The sequence below is a fragment of the Homo sapiens genome, chromosome 3 (assembly GCF_000001405.40).
Source record: "Homo sapiens chromosome 3, GRCh38.p14 Primary Assembly".
NCBI lineage: Eukaryota > Metazoa > Chordata > Mammalia > Primates > Hominidae > Homo > Homo sapiens.
The window spans coordinates 78,662,513-78,682,962 of record NC_000003.12 but is presented as its reverse complement, the minus strand read 5'-3'; the positions used below and the strand labels follow the sequence as shown (position 1 = coordinate 78,682,962).

The following is a 20,450-nucleotide window of genomic DNA, read 5'->3' as shown; positions in this document are numbered from 1 at the left end:
AAAGAAAGACATAAAACTGTTTTTATGTGCAGCTGAAACATTTTGTACATAAAAATTTCAAAATAATCTACCTACAAACTATTAAAAATGAGTGAATTTAGCAAAGTTGCTGGACACAAGGTTAATATAAAAAAGTCAACTGTACATTCAAGCACTTGGCTCATACAATTCAACAATAAAATTATATTATTATAATTTTATTCCTATATATTATATATAATATATATGATTTTTATGTGACTGTGTATATATATATTTTTTGATATTACTGTGTGTATATATACGTGTATATATACGTATATATACACAGTCACATTAAAAAATATTTATTATATATCAAATATATATAAACAAAAAATATAAATTTTTTGACATGACTCTGTATATATGTGTATATACACATATACACACATATATACTATATATACATATATACACATATATACACAGTCATATATACATATATACATATACACATATATACACAGTCATATATATACATATATATACATATACACACAGTCATATCAAAATATATATATTTGTGTGTATATATATTTTTTGATATATGTAATATATTTTTTACATGACATAAATGTACAAAGTGTGTCAGGTGCACATAAAAACAGTTTTATGTCTTTCAATATTTATGTCTTTTTTTCAATATATATATATTTCAAGTTTTATGTCTTTCCTTCAGTATTTATACATTTTATTTCTTCTACTTGTCCTACATTGCCTGTGACCTCCAATATAGTGAGCAGAACTGGCAGTAATGGGCATACTTTTCTTGATCCTAACTTCAGGGGGGAAAAATTTAATATTTTACCACCAGATACAATGTTGGCTAGGACTTTTGTAGATATCTTTGAATTTCAAGAAGTTCTGGAGGAATTTGCTAAAACATCAGTTTCATTATTTGCTTTTCTAATGTTCTCAGGATAAAGTGTATATTCCTTAACGTGCTTTACCATTCATTATCTGCCTCCACTGCAGGTTCAGCTCTGAATACTGTGTTGCTCACGTGCCCTAATCATTGTGCTTGCCATGCTTCTCCGTCTTTTTTATTTTGAGACTGAGTCGCCGAGGCTGGAGTGCAGTGGTGCGATCTCAGCTCACTGTAAGCTCCGCCTCCCAGGTTCAGGCCATTCTCCTGCCTCAGCCTCTCGAGTAGCTGGGACTGCAGGCTCCCGCCACCACGCCCGACTAATTTTTGTATTTTTAGTAGAGACGGGTTTCACCGTGTTAGCCAGGATGGTCTTGATCTCCTGACCTCGTGATCCACCCGCCTCGGCCTCCCAAAGTGCTGGGATTACAGGCGTGAGCCACCGCGCCTGGCTGCTTCTCCGTCTTAAGTCTTCTGCACGTTGTTTCCACCAACGTGAAGCTTCATTTCCTTCAAGAAGCATTCCCTAACTCTTCAAATATAGGTTCTATACTCCAACCCCTGCAGTATAAACATAGATTGCATCCTATACGTTTTTGTGTTCTGTTTATTTTCCTATGTTCTTCGTTAGACATTAAGTTCCATGAAGGCAGGACCTATGTCTCTCTAGTCAAATTAAATGCTTGCTACTATCCAACCAGAATGCCTCATGTGGCAAATGCTCCATAGATTTTTTTTTTATTATTATACTTTAAGTTTTAGGGTACATGTGCACAATGTGCAGGTTAGTTACATATGTATACATGTGCCATGCTGCTGTGCTGCACCCATTAACTCCTCATTTAGCATTAGGTATATCTCCTAATGCTATCCCTCCCCACTCCCCCCACCCCACAACAGTCCCCAGAGTGTGATGTTCCCCTTCCTGTGTCCATGTGTTCTCATTGTTCAATTCCCACCTGTGAGTGAGAACATGCGGTGTTTGGTTTTTTGTCCTTGCGATAGTTTACTGAGAATGATGATTTCCAATTTCATCCATGTCCCTACAAAGGACATGAACTCATCATTTTTTATGGCTGCATAGTATTCCATGGTGTGTATGTGCCACATTTTCTTAATCCAGTCTATCATTGTTGGACATTTGGGTTGGTTCCAAGTCTTTGCTATTGTGAATAGTGCTGCAATAAACACACGTGTGCATGTGTCTTTATAGCAGCATGATTTATAGTCCTTTGGTTATATACCCAGTAATGGGATGGCTGGGTCAAATGGTATTTCTAGTTCTAGATCCCTGAGGAATCGCCACACTGACTTCCACAATGGTTGAACTAGTTTACAGTCCCACCAACAGTGGAAAAGTGTTCCTATTTCTCCACATCCTCTCCAGCACCTGTTGTTTCCTGACTTTTTAATGATCGCCATTCTAACTGGTGTGAGATGGTATCTCATTGTGGTTTTGATTTGCATTTCTCTGATGGCCAGTGATGGTGAGCATTTTTTCATGTGTTGTTTGGCTGCATAAATGTCTTCTTTTGAGAAGTGTCTGTTCATGTCCTTCGCCCACTTTTTGATGGGGTTGTTTGTTTTTTTCTTGTAAATTTGTTGGAGTTCATTGTAGATTCCGGATATTAGCCCTTTGTCAGATGAGTAGGTTGTGAAAATTTTCTCCCATTTTGTAGGTTGCCTGTTCACTCTGATGGTAGTTTCTTTTGCTGTGCAGAAGCTCTTTAGTTCAATTAGATCCCATTTGTCAATTTTGACTTTTGTTGCCATTGCTTTTGGTGTTTTAGACATGAAGTCCTTGCCCATGCCTATGTCCTGAATGGTAATGCCTAGGTTTTCTTCTAGGGTTTTTATGATTTTAGGTCTAACATTTAAGTCTTTAATCCATCTTGGATTAATTTTTGTATAAGGTGTAAGGAAGGGATCCAGCTTCAGCTTTCTACATATGACTAGCCAGTTTTCCCAGCACCGTTTATTAAATAGGGAATCCTTTCCCCATTGCTTGTTTTTGTCAGGTTTGTCAAAGATCAGATAGTTGTAGATATGCGGCGTTATTTCTGAGGCTTGTGTTCTGTTCCATTGATCTATATCTCTGTTTTGGTACCAGTACCATGCTGTTTTGGTTACTGTAGCCTTGTAGTATAGTTTGAAGTCAGGTAGCGTGATGCCTCCAGCTTTGTTCTTTTGGCTTAGGATTGACTTGGCGATGCGGGCTCTTTTTTGGTTCCATATGAACTTTAAAGTAGTTTTTTCCAATTCTGTGAGGAAAGTCATTGGTAGCTTGATGGGGATGGCATTGAATCTATAAATTACCTTGGGCAGTATGGCCATTTTCACGATATTGATTCTTCCTACCCATGAGCATGGAACGTTCTTCCATTTGTTTGTATCTTCTTTTATTTCATTGAGCAGTGAGTGGTTTGTAGTTCTCCTTGAAGAGGTCCTTCACATCCCTTGTAAGTTGGATTCCTAGGTATTTTATTCTCTTTGAAGCAATTGTGAATGGGAGTTCACTCATGATTTGGCTCTGTGTTTGTCTGTTATTGGTGTATAAGAATGCTTGTGATTTTTGTACATTGATTTTGTATCCTGAGACTTTGCTGAAGTTGCTTATCAGCTTAAGGAGATTTTGGGCTGAGACAATGGGGTTTTTGTAGATATACAATCATGTCATCTGCAAACAGGGACAATTTGACTTCCTCTTTTCCTAATTGAATACCCTTTATTTCCTTCTCCTGCCTAATTGCCCTGGCCAGAACTTCCAACACTAGGTTGAATAGGAGTGGTGAGAGAGGGCATCCCTGTCTTGTGCCAGTTTTCAAAGGGAATGCTTCCAGTTTTTGCCCATTCAGTATGATATTGGCTGTGGGTTTGTCATAGATAGCTCTTATTATTTTGAGATACGTCCCATCAATACCTAATTTATTGAGAGTTTTTAGCATGAAGTGTTGTTGAATTTTGTCAAAGGTCTTTTCTGCATCTATTGAGATAGTCATGTGGTTTTTGTCTTTGGTTCTGTTTATATGCTGGATTACATTTATTGATTTGCATATATTGAACCAGCCTTGCATCCCAGGGATGAAGCCCGCTTGATCATGGTGGATAAGCTTTTTGATGTGCTACTGGATTCGGTTTGCCAGTATTTTATTGAGGATTTTTGCATCAATGTTCATCAAGGATATTGGTCTAAAATTCTCTTTTTTGGTTGTGTCTCTGCCCGGCTTTGGTATCAGGATGATGCTGGCCTCATAAAATGAGTTAGGGAGGATTCCCTCTCTTTCTATTGTTTGGAATAGTTTCAGAAGGAATGGTATCAGTTCGTCCTTGTACCTCTGGTAGAATTCGGCTGTGAATCCATCTGGTCCTGGACTCTTTTTGGTTGGTAAGCTATTGATTATTGCCACAATTTCAGATCCTGTTATTGGTCTATTCAGAGAGTCAACTTCTTCCTGGTTTAGTCTTGGGAGAGTGTATGTGTCGAGGAATTTATCCATTTCTTCTAGATTTTCTAGTTTATTTGCGTAGAGGTGTTTGTAGTATTCTCTGATAGTAGTTTGTATTTCTGTGGGATTGGTGGTGATATCCCCTTTATCATTTTTTATTGCATCCATTTGATTCTTCTCTCTTTTCCTCTTTATTAGTCTTGCTAGCTGTCTATCAATTTTGTTGATCCTTTCAAAAAACCAGCTCTTGGTTTCATTAATTTTTTGAAGGGTTTTTTGTGTCTCTATTTCCTTCAGTTCTGCTCTGATTTTAGTTATTTCTTGCCTTCTGCTAGCTTTTGAATGTGTTTGCTCTTGCTTTTCTAGTTCTTTTAATTGTGATGTTAGGGTGTCAATTTTGGATCTTTCCTGCTTTCTCTTGTGGGCATTTAGTGCTATAAATTTCCCTCTACACACTGCTTTGAATGTGTCCCAGAGATTCTGGTATGTTGTGTCTTTGTTCTCATTGGTTTCAAAGAACATCTTTATGTCTGCCTTCATTTCGTTATGCACCCAGTAGTCATTCAGGAGCAGGTTGTTCAGTTTCCATGTAGTTGAGCGGTTTTGAGTGAGTTTCTTAATCCTGAGTTCTAGTTTGATTGCACTGTGGTCTGAGAGACAGTTTGTTATAATTTCTGTTCTTTTACATTTGCTGAGGAGAGCTTTACTTCCAACTACGTGGTCAATTTTGGAATAGGTGTGGTGTGGTGCTGAAAAAAATGTATATTCTGTTGATTTGGGGTGGAGAGTTCTGTAGATGTCTATTAGGTCCGCTTGGTGCAGAGCTGAGTTCAATTCCTGGGTATGCTTGTTAACTTTCTGTCTTGTCGATCTGTCTAATGTTGACAGTGGGGTGTTAAAGTCGCCCATTATTATTGTGTGGGAGTCTAAGTCTCTTTGTAGGTCACTCAGGACTTGCTTTATGAATCTGGGTGCTCCTGTATTGGGTGCATATATATTTAGGATAGTTAGCTCCTCTTGTTGAATTGATCCCTTTACCATTATGTAATGGCCTTCTTTGTCTCTTTTGATCTTTGTTGGTTTAAAGTCTGTTTTATCAGAGACTAGGATTGCAACCCCTGCCTTTTTTTGTTTTCCATTAGCTTGGTAGATCTTCCTCCATCCTTTTATTTTGAGCCTGTGTGTGTCTCTGCATGTGAGATGGGTTTCCTGAATACAGCACACTGATGGGTGTTGACTCTTTATCCAATTTGCCAGTCTGTGTCTTTTAATTGGAGCATTTAGTCCATTTACATTTAAAGTTAATATTGTTATGTGTGAATTTGATCTTGTCATTATGATGTTAGATGGTTATTTTGCTCATTGGTTGATGCAGTTTCTTCCTAGCCTTGATGGTCTTTACAATTTGGCATGTTTTTGCAGTGGCTGGTACTGGTTGTTCCTTTCCACGTTTAGTACTTCCTTCAGGAGCTCTTTTAGGGCAGGCCTGGTGGTGACAAAATCTCTCAGCATTTGCTTGTCTAAAGTATTTTATTACTCCTTCACTTATGAAGCTTAGTTTGGCTGGATATGAAATTGTGGGTTGAAAATTCTTTTCTTTAAGAATGTTGAATATTGGCCCCCACTCTCTTCTGGCTTGTAGGGTTTCTGCCGAGAGATCCGCTGTTAGTCTGATGGTCTTCCCTTTGTGGGTAACCTGACCTTTCTCTCTGGCTGCCCTTAACATTTTTTCCTTCATTTCAACTTTGGTGAATCTGACAATTATGTGTCTTGGAGTTGCTCTTCTCGAGGAGTATATTTGTGGCGTTCTCTGTATTTCCTGAATCTGAATGTTGGCCTGCCATGCCAGATTGGGGAAGTTCTCCTGGATAATATCCTGCAGAGTGTTTTTCAACTTGGTTCCATTCTCCCCGTCACTTTCAGGTACACCAATCAGACGTAGATTTGGTCTTTTCACATAGTCCCATATTTCTTGGAGGCTTTGTTCATTTCTTTTTATTCTTTTTTCTCTAAACTTCCCTTCTCACTTCATTTCATTCATTTCATCTTCCATCACTGATACCCTTTCTTCCAGTTGATCGCATCGGCTCCTGAGGCTTCTGCATTCTTCACGTAGTTCTCGAGCTTTGGCTTTCAGCTCCATCAGCTCCTTTAGGCACTTCTCTGTATTGGTTATTCTAGTTATACATTCGTCTAAATTTTTTTAAAGTTTTTAACTTCTTTGCCTTGGGTTTGAATTTCCTTGTGTAGCTCGGAGTAGTTTGATCGTCTGAAGCCTTCTTCTCTCAACTCGTCAAAGTCATTCTCCATCCAGCTTTGTTCCGTTGCTGGTGAGGAACTGCGTTCCTTTGGAGGAGGAGAGGTGCTCTGCTTTTTAGAGTTTCCAGTTTTTCTGCTCTGTTTTTTCCCCATCTTTCTGGTTTTATCTACTTTTGGTCTTTGATGATGGTGATGTATAGATGGGTTTTTGGTGTGGATGTCCTTTCTGTTTGTTAGTTTTCCTTCTAACAGACAGGACCCTCAGCTGCAGGTCTGTTGGAGTTTGCTAGAGGTCCACTCCAGACCCTGTTTGCCTGGGTACCAGCAGCGGTGGCTGCAGAACAGTGGATTTTCATGAACCTCGAATGCTGCTGTCTGATTGTTCCTCTGGAAGTTTTGTCTCAGAGGAGTACCCGGCCCTGTGAGGTGTCAGTCTGCCCCTACTTGGGGGTGCCTCCCAGTTAGGCTGCTCGGGGGTCAGGGGTCAGGGACCCACTTGAGGAGGCAGTCTGCCCTTTCTCAGATCTCCAGCTGCGTGCTGGGAGAACCACTGCTCTCTTCAAAGCTGTCAGACAGGTACATTTAAGTCTGCAGAGGTTACTGCTGTCTTTTTGTTTGTCTATGCCCTGCCCCCAGAGGTGGAGCCTACAGAGGCAGGCAGGCCTCCTTGAGCTGTGGTGGGCTCCACCCAGTTCGAGCTTCCAGGTGGCTTTGTTTACCTAATCAAACAACTAACTCGGCAATGGCAGGCCCCCCTCCCCCAGCCTCGCTGCCGCCTTGCAGTTTGATCTCAGACTGCTGTGCTAACAATTAGCGAGACTCCGTGGGTGTAGGACCCTCCGAGCCAAGTGCGGGATATAATCTCCTGGTGCGCCGTTTTTTAAGCCCATTGGAAAAGCACAGTATTAGGGTGGGAGTGACCCGATTTTCCAGGTGCCGTCTGTCACCCCTTTCTTTGACTAGGAAAGGGAACTCCCTGACCCCTTGCGCTTCCCGAGTGAGGCAATGCCTCGCCCTGCTTCGGCTCGCGAACTGTGTGCTCCACCCACTGACCGGCGCCCTCTATCTGGCACTCCCTAGTGAGATGAACCCGGTACCTCAGATAGAAATGCAGAAATCACCCATCTTCTGCGTCGCTCACGCTGGGAGCTGTAGACTGGAGCTGTTCCTATTCGGCCATCTTGGCTGCCAGCTGATTTTTTTTTTTTTTAATGAGTGGATGAAACAAAGAAAAAAGGAAAAAGAACTAGCTTTTGGTTAAGTGAGTATTGAGCACTAGGATTGTCTCTCTCAAAAGCTCAAACTCTTACCTCTGTATATGATACGTATTATACATGTACTGGCTCCAATAAGCTAGTATGACCTAAAATATTTTTATAATGTCTTAAGTACATTACAGCCATTAAATAATGATTGTGAAAGCCATATAGTGAATTCAATAATGACTACTATAACCAATATATAGAGACATTAGAACATAGAGTGATACACACATTAATAATTGCAACTTTGTAAAGCAACTTATATATAGGTATACATAAAAAAAGATTTTAGAAACCTATGCTAAAGTAGTCTCAAATATCTCCAATTTTTATAATTATAATTTAAAGCAAAGGTTTTCATGTGCCAACTGACATGACGTTATCACAAATTGCTTGTATTTGTGAGACTAGATCACGCATAGACCTTTTATTAAACTATAAAAAACAAAAACAAAATCTCTAAATATCTGTGAATTTGGGATTCTTCCCTACTAGCCAGTTCAACACTAAATGTCCTGTTTCACCCTGCAAACTCTGGGCGTTTTAAGGTGATTTCGTGTTTGCTGTTTTGGCACTGTTTTTTAAGTTTTGTTTGCTTTATTTTGGAGCTTATTGATATTGTGAAAACAATTTAACACTGTGGTCTCATTCTTCATGGGTAAAACTAGAATTATTGCAAGTGCTGGAAATACCGGTATTTATACATTAGCAAGTCCAGAGGATGGCTAGTAGGCAGAGTACTTTGGGGATACTATTCGTCTTTAGCTTCTTGACCTTCTTTACTGTTTGCAAACAGAACAAAGACAAAGGCAGAATCAAACATGAAGCACAGAAGTAGCAGCTGCCTTTAAAATGTTGTGTTGACTGTAGCTGTGACCTATCCCTAATAGCATTTGACTTAGAAACATACAAATTCATGTCTTCTATTTAACTGAACATCTTTCTTCTCTTTACTATAATATCAGAAGGTAAGAAAACAAAGTTAATGATTACTACATAATGTATAAAATTTAAAATCATTCGTATTCATCTCACAAAATTTATAGATACATAGTGCAAAGAGTGTTATATTTTATACAGAAAAAAGATTTGCCAGTTACTACTTGATTTGGACAAGTCACTTGAACTTCTAGAGTTTCAGTTCCCTGATTTCTAAAATGGAATAATAATATTTTATAGCCAAATTTATAATTTCCAAGATACAATATTTGCAGTTTGTAAATGGATGACAATTATGCTCTTTATCTGCGATGTTTATTGGTGTATAATGTGACTTTTTGTACGTGAACTAATCAATGTGTGTATATTCTGTTCTTTTTCTCTTAAAATTATTTCCTAAATATATTTATGTATATTAACATAGACTTCATGATCGCTATTTTTGAGGTGACAAATTACAACATTCTGATTATATACCCTTATTTTGGACGGGTTTTGAAGTCTTTCACTAAATGTGGGGAAAAGATAGCTAAACTTTTATAACCCTGCTGTAATATATGTGTGTATATATATATATATATATATATATATATATATATATATATATAAAATATATGTAACCTAGCTGTAATATATATATATTTATATATATTATATATTATTTTATATATTTTATATATTTATATTATATATATATTTTTATAACAGGTAGTGTAACCTTGCTGTAATATATATATATATATTTATAACAGGTGGTGTAACCCTGCTGTAATATATATTACAGCACCTGTTATACCTGTTACACTGCTTATACCATCACTACCTCCACCACTATTATTTTTATACTGACAATAATGAGCTACAGTGACTAATAACAAGTTATAGGATAAGCTTACCTAGGGCCAGGCACTATACTAGAAACTTTTCACACATGAACAATTTCAAATCTAACCATATCTCATTTTACCAGTGAAGAAACTGAGGCAGTGAATGTGAAGATGTGTACCCAACTTACAATGATAAGTAGCAGAACTGACATGTTTGCACCCTCCAATAAGGTAGCTACTTACCATATGGGGCTATTTAAATTTGAATTTAAATTACTTAAAATTAAATACAATTGCATATCCAATTCCCCAATTACTCTAGCTACACTTACATGTTCAGTAGTCACTTGGTGCTGTTGGCTACTGTATTGGAGAGAGTAGATATGGAACATTTCTGTTGTAGATATGGAACATTTCTGTTGTATGGTGCTAACATTTTCTGACTCCAAAGTCCGTGCATTTAATCACTTTGTTAAACATTTCTGATTCTTACACTTCCTATTTTATTTCTGGATAATTCATTCTAATAATTCCAACAGAAGATCCTAGACCTGAATATAAGGTTTGTCTCCTTCTAAATTAAGATTTGACTCATAAATGCAGTACATTCTTTGGTGTCTGTAAGTGTAAACATTTTACGAGTATTTTATTCTACTTCATGACATCAAAAACTTTCATTTCTCTACCTGGAAACATCAAATTGCTTTAATAAACCCTTAAATATTTCTCTTTTTTTTTTTTTTTTTTTTGAGACAGGGTCTCACTCTGTCACCCAGGCTGGAGTGCGGTGGCCTGATCAAAGTCCACCACTGCAGACCTAACCTCCTGGGCTCATGTGATCCTCCCACCTCAGTCTGTCAAGTTGCTGGGACTACAGGTGCACACCACCATGGCCGGCTAATTTATTTTTATTTTTATTTTTATTTTTGTGGAGATGGGGTTTTGCCATGTTACCCAGGTGGGTTTTGAACTCTTAGGCTTAAGCAATCCACCTTACTTGGCCACCCAAAGTGCAGGATTACAGGCGTGAGCCCCAGTGCCCGGCCAAATCTTTCATCTCTGATTTACATAATAGTTTTTTTTGTTGTTGTTGTTGTTTTTACCAAAGAGGACACTAGTGATACTACAGTACATAATATGTCTAGCCTTTTGCAATTAGCCAAGCACTCCCTTATCTGTTCCATTTAAATATGCATAACAATACCCTGCCTGAGCTATTTAGAAAAAAATATTATTATGCTTAGTTGATGGATTTAAAAACAATACAAAACTGAGGCTTAGAGAATTTAAGGAACTTGCCCAAAGACATATGGCAGATGCTAGAGCTGATCTTTTTCTTTTATTGCTTTATTTTTGTTAAGTATACATTGTAAATTATACCACAAAAATGGCATCAATAACTGGTTTGGGATGGAATGGGGAGGTGTGGATGACACTAAATAAAATACAAATATCAAAGAACCATAAAGATAGAGAACATTGAATATATTCCCAGATATTGGATTGTTTCTAAATATGATAAGACTACCAAATTTAAACCATTCTTCTACTGGACTTAATTATAATCAGTTATAAAGAATATTCCTTCTGCCAAGTTTCAAACTCTAGCCTTCTAATTCACCCCTTGATATTGCAAATTTCACCCTGGTAACCAAGACAAAGAAGAGAATTGGAAGAGTAGAGTGGAAATGCACAGCTGCTGATTTCACTCCATTGCTTTCCTGTTTATCTTTTCTTTTTTTTTTTTTAGTTTGCATGCACAAAACTAATATTTATTGCATGACAAATGAGGAGCAAATTGAAGTGTGACTCCAGCTTGTGAAAATCTTTGGTGCATAAAGCTTGGAACATGACAGATCCAGCTTTGAAAATTATTGCTTCCAAAATTTAGTTACTCTGACAACCACTTTTCTTTAACCAGGCAACTTAGAATCTTTCTTTGTACATTTGTGTCTTTTAAAAATTTTTCATTAACATCCAGAATTTTCAAGTTGAATATTTAAAGAAAATTTCTGAAATTTGGTTTTTAAGTCATTAAAAAAAAACTATAGAGTTTCATATAAATTGCCTAAGTCAGGGGATGGGAACACCTCTTCAATGTAGGATTTATTCTAGTTCCAACACAGTTGTTCTATGTTTTCCCCTAAAAAAGACTTCATGTCAGATAAAGTTTTTAGATTTTAGATTTTTTTCATGTAATCATAGGGTTAATTGTATTTACACATAATAAAATTGCCTCTCGTTGTTATTTTCCGTAGTATGTTATAACTATTATCTAAGGTAACGGAGTTAGCAGAGGCACATTCCCAATCCCATTAATCCCAATAGAGAAGTATGGTGTTTGCCAAGTTAGAACATCATTTTGACTTGTCTCTTTGGATCAGCCAAACAACAATGTATTTGGGCAATTTTCCAATTTCTTTGAATTCATTACAGTTGGGTAATTTTCTCCCATGTATATTGTAATAGAAAGAATTACAAGATAAAAAGACACAGGGAACTCAATCACACTGATTTATTAAATTACGAAATCCAATGCACTTTTTTGGATCCAAAATTGTTAAACATGCTGGTATGGTACCTTGTTTCTTTTTTTCTGTTGTACAAGTTATGAAATGTCAATTTGGCTTTGCTTCATTTATTAAAATTTATCTCATATGTTTCCTTGAGAGGAATGGTCTTTTTGTTATGTTGTGTTTTTTCATGTTTTTGAGTTTAAAAAGTACAGTATTCCATGATCACGTCTCTGTATCTACTTCACCATCCACAATCCTAATTCCCGAACTCTTTAAATAGGCCTCTTGACGATGCAGCCAGCTCAGTGAGTGGCTGGTCATTTGAAAGTAGCACATTGTGTCTCATTTTAGTATTCTGAATCAGTGCATCATATAAATGCATTTTGAATAATGCATGTCTGCTACTTTAATTACTTGTTTAATTATCTTTAGTTTGTTTCAAAGCCTAGAACAACTGCTGTTGCTTGGATGATTAGAAAATTGCTTCCAGTTGCAGAAATCTATTTCCTGTTGTTTCTTCTGGCAGTGATTGCAGATCGGCCTCCCCCAGTTATTCGACAAGGTCCTGTGAATCAGACTGTAGCCGTGGATGGCACTTTCGTCCTCAGCTGTGTGGCCACAGGCAGTCCAGTGCCCACCATTCTGTGGAGAAAGGATGGAGTCCTCGTTTCAACCCAAGACTCTCGAATCAAACAGTTGGAGAATGGAGTACTGCAGATCCGATATGCTAAGGTAACTTGGAATGGCACCTTGCGTTTCTTGTTTTGTTTCACTTTGTTTCTGCCTCCAACAACTGGCATTGAAATTTCTAACTTTGCAATTAATGAAGTGTTAAATGAAGAGTAGTAATATATTTTTAATTTGATGTTTTATTTTTTTCAGATATTTCATTGTATATGTTTGAGATGATTTAACTCATAATTTAGTCCATGGCAGGTAATTTAAGGTTGTATGGAGGAGAAGAAAGGATTTCTAAGAACCTACCGAGGAAAGTAAATGAGGGTTTGTGAGAGAATAAATATCTTCAAAGTAGTGGTACGAAGCAGTCCTTCCATAAAGCATCTTTTAAGATATTTACCTGTATCATTTTATGTGCAATATATTTAGATAGTTCTTCTATTGTAAGTGTTTGTTTCAGCATTTTGCAATGGCAAAACTATACATGCAAACAAAAGCCATAAAGCAATGTACACACCGAGTGTACAATTCAAATCAGAATGCTCAATGATGGAAAGCCCACAGGTCTGTAGGAACCATTTAAGGATTTACTTTCACAGGGCATCATATCCCATGCCTGCTCTTTCAGGACTTTATTGTTTTGATTTTTCTTCTTTTTTTATGTCAAGATCAGACGAGCTCCTGAGGCATATGAAAGAATAGTCCTGACAGCAATAAACATGAATTTCAGTTGCTTTATCTCCTAGTGTGGGTGGTTCCTTTGGAGTATTGGATCAGCATCACAGTTCACTTTAAGTGCCACAACAGTTAATATGTTGTGCTGCTTTGTGACTGTTGTGACTTGGTTCCTGCAATTGCCAGGGCAAGATGACAACATTCTTTCTTTATCAAATGTTACTTGAAGATAGTTATTAGCTTGAGCAGAAGTAGATGGGTTTATTATCCTGCTGCTGATTTCAAAGTTGAACATGTAACCTATGTTTGCCTTCTGACATTCAGTTTTTAAAAGGGAGCGAGAGTGTTCGTTCCAGCTTGAGTTTGGCTTTGTACTTCTTAAACTGCCTTAAGTTACAAGTTTTAAAACCCGGAAAAGTCAGTAGTTTAAGAAAAAAATTCTATGATGCCTATCCTTTTTCTGTTGATCTCATATATCCATATAGTTAAATATATAAGTAAAATATGAAATAGCAAGAATAGGCATTGGTTAAACTTTATCAGCCTTATTATATAACTTATTAAACATAAAGATATATCTTAGCCATAAATATTAACGCTCTAAATTTGAAGAATTGTATGCCTTACCTTAGGAATTATTGTCCCTGAGACTGATGATAATATATGCTAATGCAATTAAATATTTCTTATTATACCATTAGAACAATCATATAAAATCTTTTTTTCTATATTGATGTAATATTTTCCTTCACATTCAATAAAAATATATTCAACTAAGGGGAAGTTTCTGGTTAGTGAATTTTAATGCAGTTATCCATATTCATGGATCATATACAAACCTGTAATTGCTTTTCCAGCCCAGTGAGTTCTTGATTTTTCCAAATATTTATTTTTTGTCTGCCTTCTCAGCTGGGTGATACTGGTCGGTACACCTGCATTGCATCAACCCCCAGTGGTGAAGCAACATGGAGTGCTTACATTGAAGTTCAAGGTAAAGTAAATGGTGTGTTTCCCTTAAAGTGAAGCTTAAAATGCAGTTGTTTACTTACTGGGATATTGATGAAGTAAATGTCCTCTTCCCTGAGTAGGTGTATGAATATGTTATCTGCATTTATCCGCTTATCTGTGTATGTGTAAACATCTTTTATTTTGGCCTTTTTCCTGCTTTTTAGAATTTGGAGTTCCAGTTCAGCCTCCAAGACCTACTGACCCAAATTTAATCCCTAGTGCCCCATCAAAACCTGAAGTGACAGATGTCAGCAGAAATACAGTCACATTATCGTGGCAACCAAATTTGAATTCAGGAGCAACTCCAACATCTTATATTATAGAAGCCTTCAGGTAGAGTGAAGGAGATGCTTCCTAGTTGTTCTTTTTTGATTCTCCATTAAATACGCATGTTCTAACCTGTGTGTCTATCCTTAGCCATGCATCTGGTAGCAGCTGGCAGACCGTAGCAGAGAATGTGAAAACAGAAACATCTGCCATTAAAGGACTCAAACCTAATGCAATTTACCTTTTCCTTGTGAGGGCAGCTAATGCATATGGAATTAGTGATCCAAGCCAAATATCAGATCCAGTGAAAACACAAGGTAAATATTGATTTACTTAAACCTGTGACACCTACTTATCCTTAGATGTTATAATTGCACTGACAAATCACTTGTGCTACATGCTAGAATTGTACATTTACAGTGTGTTGTTCAAGTTGCCCAAGTTGCTTAATTAATTTTTAATATACAAACACAATGTCTACAAACTTTATTATTTTCTGGACTAAGCATACCAACATAAGATGGATTAACAAAGAGAACTGTTTCTCATAAAATTACAAATATATCAAGACAAAAATATTACGTGAGGAGATGGAAAGTAGAATGATGGTTACCAGAGGCTGGGAAGGGTAGTAGGGTGGCTGTGGGGAGGGTGGGGATGGTTAACGGGTACAAAAAAAAGAATAGTTAGATCTAATGAATAAGATCTAGTATTAGATAGCAACAAGGTGACTGCAGTCAATAATAATTTATTGTACATTTTTAAATAAAGTATAACTGGAATGTTTGTAACACAAACAAAGGATAAATGATTGAGGTGATAGATACCCCATTTACCCTGATGTGATTATTATGCCCTGTATGCCTATATCAAAATACCTCATGTACCCATAAATATATACACCTGTTAGTACCCATAAATTTTAAAAATATGTGAATATTTGTGTATTCTATTCAATTTCCTGAATTTTAAATATGGTAACATGTAGGTGTACAATCTTAATCATATTATAATTGTATTTAAAATTAACCAAATTTTATTTATTTATAAGTTCAGTACTCACAACCTTCTGGATGAATTTTTAGATTACAACCCTAATCAAATAATACTCTCTTGAGATCACATAAATATGAGAGATATCTGGATACCTTTTATTTTTGGAAAAAAATCACGTCATTGTAAATAAAATGTGCTTGTTTTTATATTAGTAAAGAAAGGTAATTCTAGAGGGGAGTGATTCGAACTATAAAATTATTTTCTCAACATACAGAGGGATAGTGTTTCTATCTTAAGGGAACAAAGGAAAAAAGAAAAAAAAATAGACTTGGTTATTTTAATAGAAACAAGTTATACACAAGATGACTGAGACTTAAAGTCCTTTGCTGCTGGTTTGGGAGAGGGGTCTGCCAGCCATGTTGCTGTTTTGTTACTTCAAGTATGTACAGAAACAGTCTTTTTGGAAGCACTTTTTGTTTCAGAATTTGCAGAAAAAGCACACCAAGTTGTAGAACATGCCCACGTTTGTCTCTTGTGTGAATGTAACACACCCATAGCTCATATTTGCTATTATGAATCACCTCTCCAGGAGCTTTACTATACTTGCAGCCTGCCTTAAGGCAGTCTGAGGTTTTTGATATTAGATACACATTTGTAAAGAATGTAGACCCAATGATAGCTATAAAATGAATTTAAACTTTTGTCCCCAGTACAGTGGTCTCCAGCCAGTAGACTCTAACTGAAAGGTTTTGATGACTAGAGCTTAACACCGTTTTGTCCTGTACTCACATGCATGATTCTGGAATATGTAACCTCATTTGTAAGTGAGCAGTAAGTTAGCATTCTGTCTGAACATTCATTTAGTCTTTTTAACATTTCTGTCAATTTGCCTTTGCATATGCATAGCTAGTGGAACAATGTATTAGTCTCTTCTCACGCTGCTAATAAAGAACTTCCCCGAGACTGGGCAGTTTATAAAGGAAAGAGGTTTAATTGACTCACAGTTCAGCATGGCTGGGGAAGCCTCAGAAAACTTACAATCATGGCAGAAGGGGAAAGAAACACGTCCCGGTTCACATGGTGGCAGCAAGAGGTGCCGAGCAAAAGTGAGCAAAGCCCCTTATAAAACCATCGGGTCTCCTGAGAACTCACTCACTATCACGAGAACAGCAGCACGGGGTAACTACTCCATGATTCAGTTACCTCCTACCGAGACCCTCCCGTGACACATGGGGATTAGGAGAACTACAGTTCAAGATGAGATTTGGGTGAGGACACAGCCAAACCACATCACTCTAAGTATAATGAATCCTTGTTAACTGGAATACTGGAAATATAGAGAAACAGGCATACAGTTGTGAAATCAAAGACTTTTTTTTTTTAAATTTCAGCTCCTCAATCCACTAGCTGTGTGACCTTGAGCAAGCTAGTCAGCCCTTCTGAGTTTCCTCACCTATAAAATGGGGCTAAACATACCCATTCCTCGGGATTGGACAAAGAATACATTAACCAATCAATATATAAGTATATAAGATTCAGATTTGTTTTCTGTTTTATCCCATAAAATCTGTTATTGGACTTGTATTTCTTTTAGTGTCAGGACTAAAAGTAAAGGAAGTTCATAAAATTTGTGGATGTCGTAAAACTGAGAAAGACAGCTAGTATGCCAAATAAGAGAATCAGAATTAAATATAACTCAACAGATTGGACTGATGGGAGAGTGCTAACTATTAAAGTTAATAGAGCAAATTAAAAAGTCTGGTACTTGAACTTGGGTTTAAAAAATTAGCTGTAAAAGGATAGACTAAAGACAGCAGGCTTACGGGAAGTATATGTGAGTGTGTCAGGGCTTTCGGAGTGATCTGACTTTAAAATAAAACACCCATCTGAACCGACTGACGGATACAGTTGCCAAGAGAACAAATGTAGTCTTAGCTGGCACTAGAATTATGCCTGGATCAAGTAATTTTTCTCTTTTTACTTAGAACTATTCAGTTCATGAATGGAGTAATGTGTTTGTTCTGGAGACTACATTTTCAGATGGACTTTTAAGAGGAGGACAGTAGGGATAGTCGATGAGGCCGCATGAAAGGCTGAAAATCACATCATATGAAAAGACATTCAAGGATCTAGGTATGATTAGGCCAGAAAATAATAACATCAGAGCAGACATGACATCTTTTCCTTAACATTTTAAGAGACTGCCGTATGGAAGAGTTATGCTTATTCTAGCTCGAGGCAACAGAAAAGGGCCCATGAGAAGAAGTAAAATTGAGGCACATATCTTGCCTATTCTTGGACTTCATTTGAGGCTGGAAGCCTTGGATTATAACTGTAATAAGAACCTGGGGAATCACCTGCAAAAATATTTCACTGGAGGGACCAGAAGGCAAACACAGCAAGGAGAAAAATGAGGGGTGAGGAAATTCAAGAAGGACTTGTTGGAAAGTGATTCATAAGGGAGCAGGCATAATTTCTCTAACCATTTCTGCAATGTGGTTGCAAAAGAATCTTCCCCAAGTGTAGATACTTAGAAATGAGCTGGGGTCAAAAGCTAAAGGTGCACAGATATAGGGCACAGGTTCCGAGTACAGGAGTCAGGTAGACCTATGTCATGGTTGGAGTTAGAGCCTTGTTATGTGGTAATCAAAGTGTGCTTTCCCAAAGACAAGATTTGATTATGCAAGGAAGATGAGATGAGCACCTGGCAGTTAGGGGTGGTGGTCATTGTGGCAGAGGTGCGGCTGTTGTTACCATTGTTAGTTACTATGATTCCTCACCCATGTGCCCTGTCTGTGTATCATTCTTGAGCCCTAGTTTTAAAAGAATCTATACAGATACATATCATACCTAAGATGATGTCAGTTATTATCAATGAGTGGGGCCTGGATAGGCTCCCCTCTGAGGTTGTGTATACGAAGTTTTAACGTTGGGGGAAACAGTTTGGCTGGAGCAATTAGGTCTTCTTTAAGTCTAATTCTGAATGTTGAGAAAGACCTTTTACATTGTCATACGTTTCTTTCAGGAGAAGGAGAACAAAAACAGTAACAGGATCAATTCATAAACTTCTCAAAATTATATTATCAGGTGTCACTTTCCCTTTTTCTCTCTGCTGTGAACATTTCTATTATAATGTTATAGACTGCTGTTGCTGTCATGGGTACTAGGTGGGAGAATCTAGCAATTTTCATGAAGGAACTGACTGGTAGGTTTATCTCAAATCAGAGGAATTTGGGATTGGGATGCAGATCATGGCAGTTATGTATAAAGTGGTTATTTCTGTATTTGAAGATACTTTCTGAAAGGGGGATGATTTTGTGAGGATGGGAGCTTACGTATGAGGGAAGTACTTGGAAACTGACATCATATGTGTGTTTTCCACACATGAATACATTTTAATTGAACCTATGTTTATTAAGCAACACCTATGTATATGGCACTATGCTATATACTATGGGTCCACAATCCCTGCTCTGAGGAAAAGCACTTTTTATGTCTTACCACAAGACAGCTTTTACCACAGCCCTCAGGATTAGCTGCCTTTGATGCCACCATCTGAAGCATAAGGAAACTGAAGAATAGTGAGATTAAGAAATTGTTCCAATGTTACGTGGTTTTTAAGTTGCCGAGGTGGGGTGCAAACCCAAGTCTGTTTCATTCCAAGTATTTCACTCTTATCCTAGAGATGGGTGACAGCTTGAGTCGTAGGAGCAATTGAGACCAGTGGGTAAGGAAGAGATGGAAAGGTGACAATCAAGTGTTTACTCCGTAGAGGCTGTGATAATAGTTATCCTGAGGGCAGGTCCTAACCAAAAATATTGGTAAAGGAAGATGAAGTATGGGATGCCAGAATTATCCCAGTTGTTTTTTTTTCATCTTGCTTATTTATCAGCTTAATTTCTAGGTTAAGTATAAAAACAACCAAACAATATGTAAGAGTGTTTGATATCAATCTCGATGTCATCTCTTCCACTTGCCTAGCTTCCCTGGACTTCATCCGAGATACTTAGCGATCTCATTCTTAGTATTCCTGCTTTTGCTTTCTACCCAAGATCAATTGTTTGACGGTATTTAATGATTCATTAAACTAAAATTCTCATTTTAATTTTTTTATGTAATGGGGAATCATCTGGAATGTAGGTGCCAAAATACAATTCTTTGAGAAAGAGAATTCTGAAGTCCAAAAAACATTTTCTTCACTTCCTCCCATGTATTCCCTGTTACTATTATAAACAAAGCAAAACATCTGTGTTTAGAAAACCGCTTCAGAAATGGGCAAATGTTTTTTTGAGTGTAGACTTTAAGAAGCTTATAAAAAAAAATTAACATTAGTAGCCACTTCATTCTTACTGTGTTCTTAGTTTCCTTCCTGAAATTTTGGGGCTTTTGAGATTAAGAACTCTTTATTAAACCTTCTTTACTATGATACAATAACTAAACTAAAGGATCATCAATTAAATAAACGTTAAGTACTTTTTTCTCATGAGTCTAATCAGCTTTATTTTATTTTACTTCCTTGCTGGCATCTGTATCACCTCCATTGTAGCCACTAACTTACCATATACCTTCCATGAGAAAATATCCAAGTTCATCTTAAAAGCTGTAAAGTATCTGCCTTCTTTCTGTTCTTGGTTTTCACTAACCATATCTCCTTTCTTTCCATTGCTTAGCCACTCTGCTACAATTTCAGT

General features: G+C 37.1%; 1 protein-coding gene across 18 annotated transcripts in view; it reads left to right on the top strand.

Moving 5' to 3' along the window:
* Nucleotides 1-20,450, top strand: part of ROBO1 (roundabout guidance receptor 1) — a 1,170,760-nt gene that overhangs the window by 1,085,036 nt on the left and 65,274 nt on the right. For all 18 annotated transcript variants that reach the window (XM_017006982.2, XM_047448664.1, XM_047448661.1 and 15 more), the window contains 4 exons: nt 12,662-12,867; nt 14,398-14,479; nt 14,661-14,829; nt 14,914-15,080. In XM_017006982.2, coding sequence (XP_016862471.1) covers nt 12,662-12,867; nt 14,398-14,479; nt 14,661-14,829; nt 14,914-15,080 — 624 coding nt within the window. The remainder of the gene's footprint in view (nt 1-12,661; nt 12,868-14,397; nt 14,480-14,660; nt 14,830-14,913; nt 15,081-20,450) is intronic.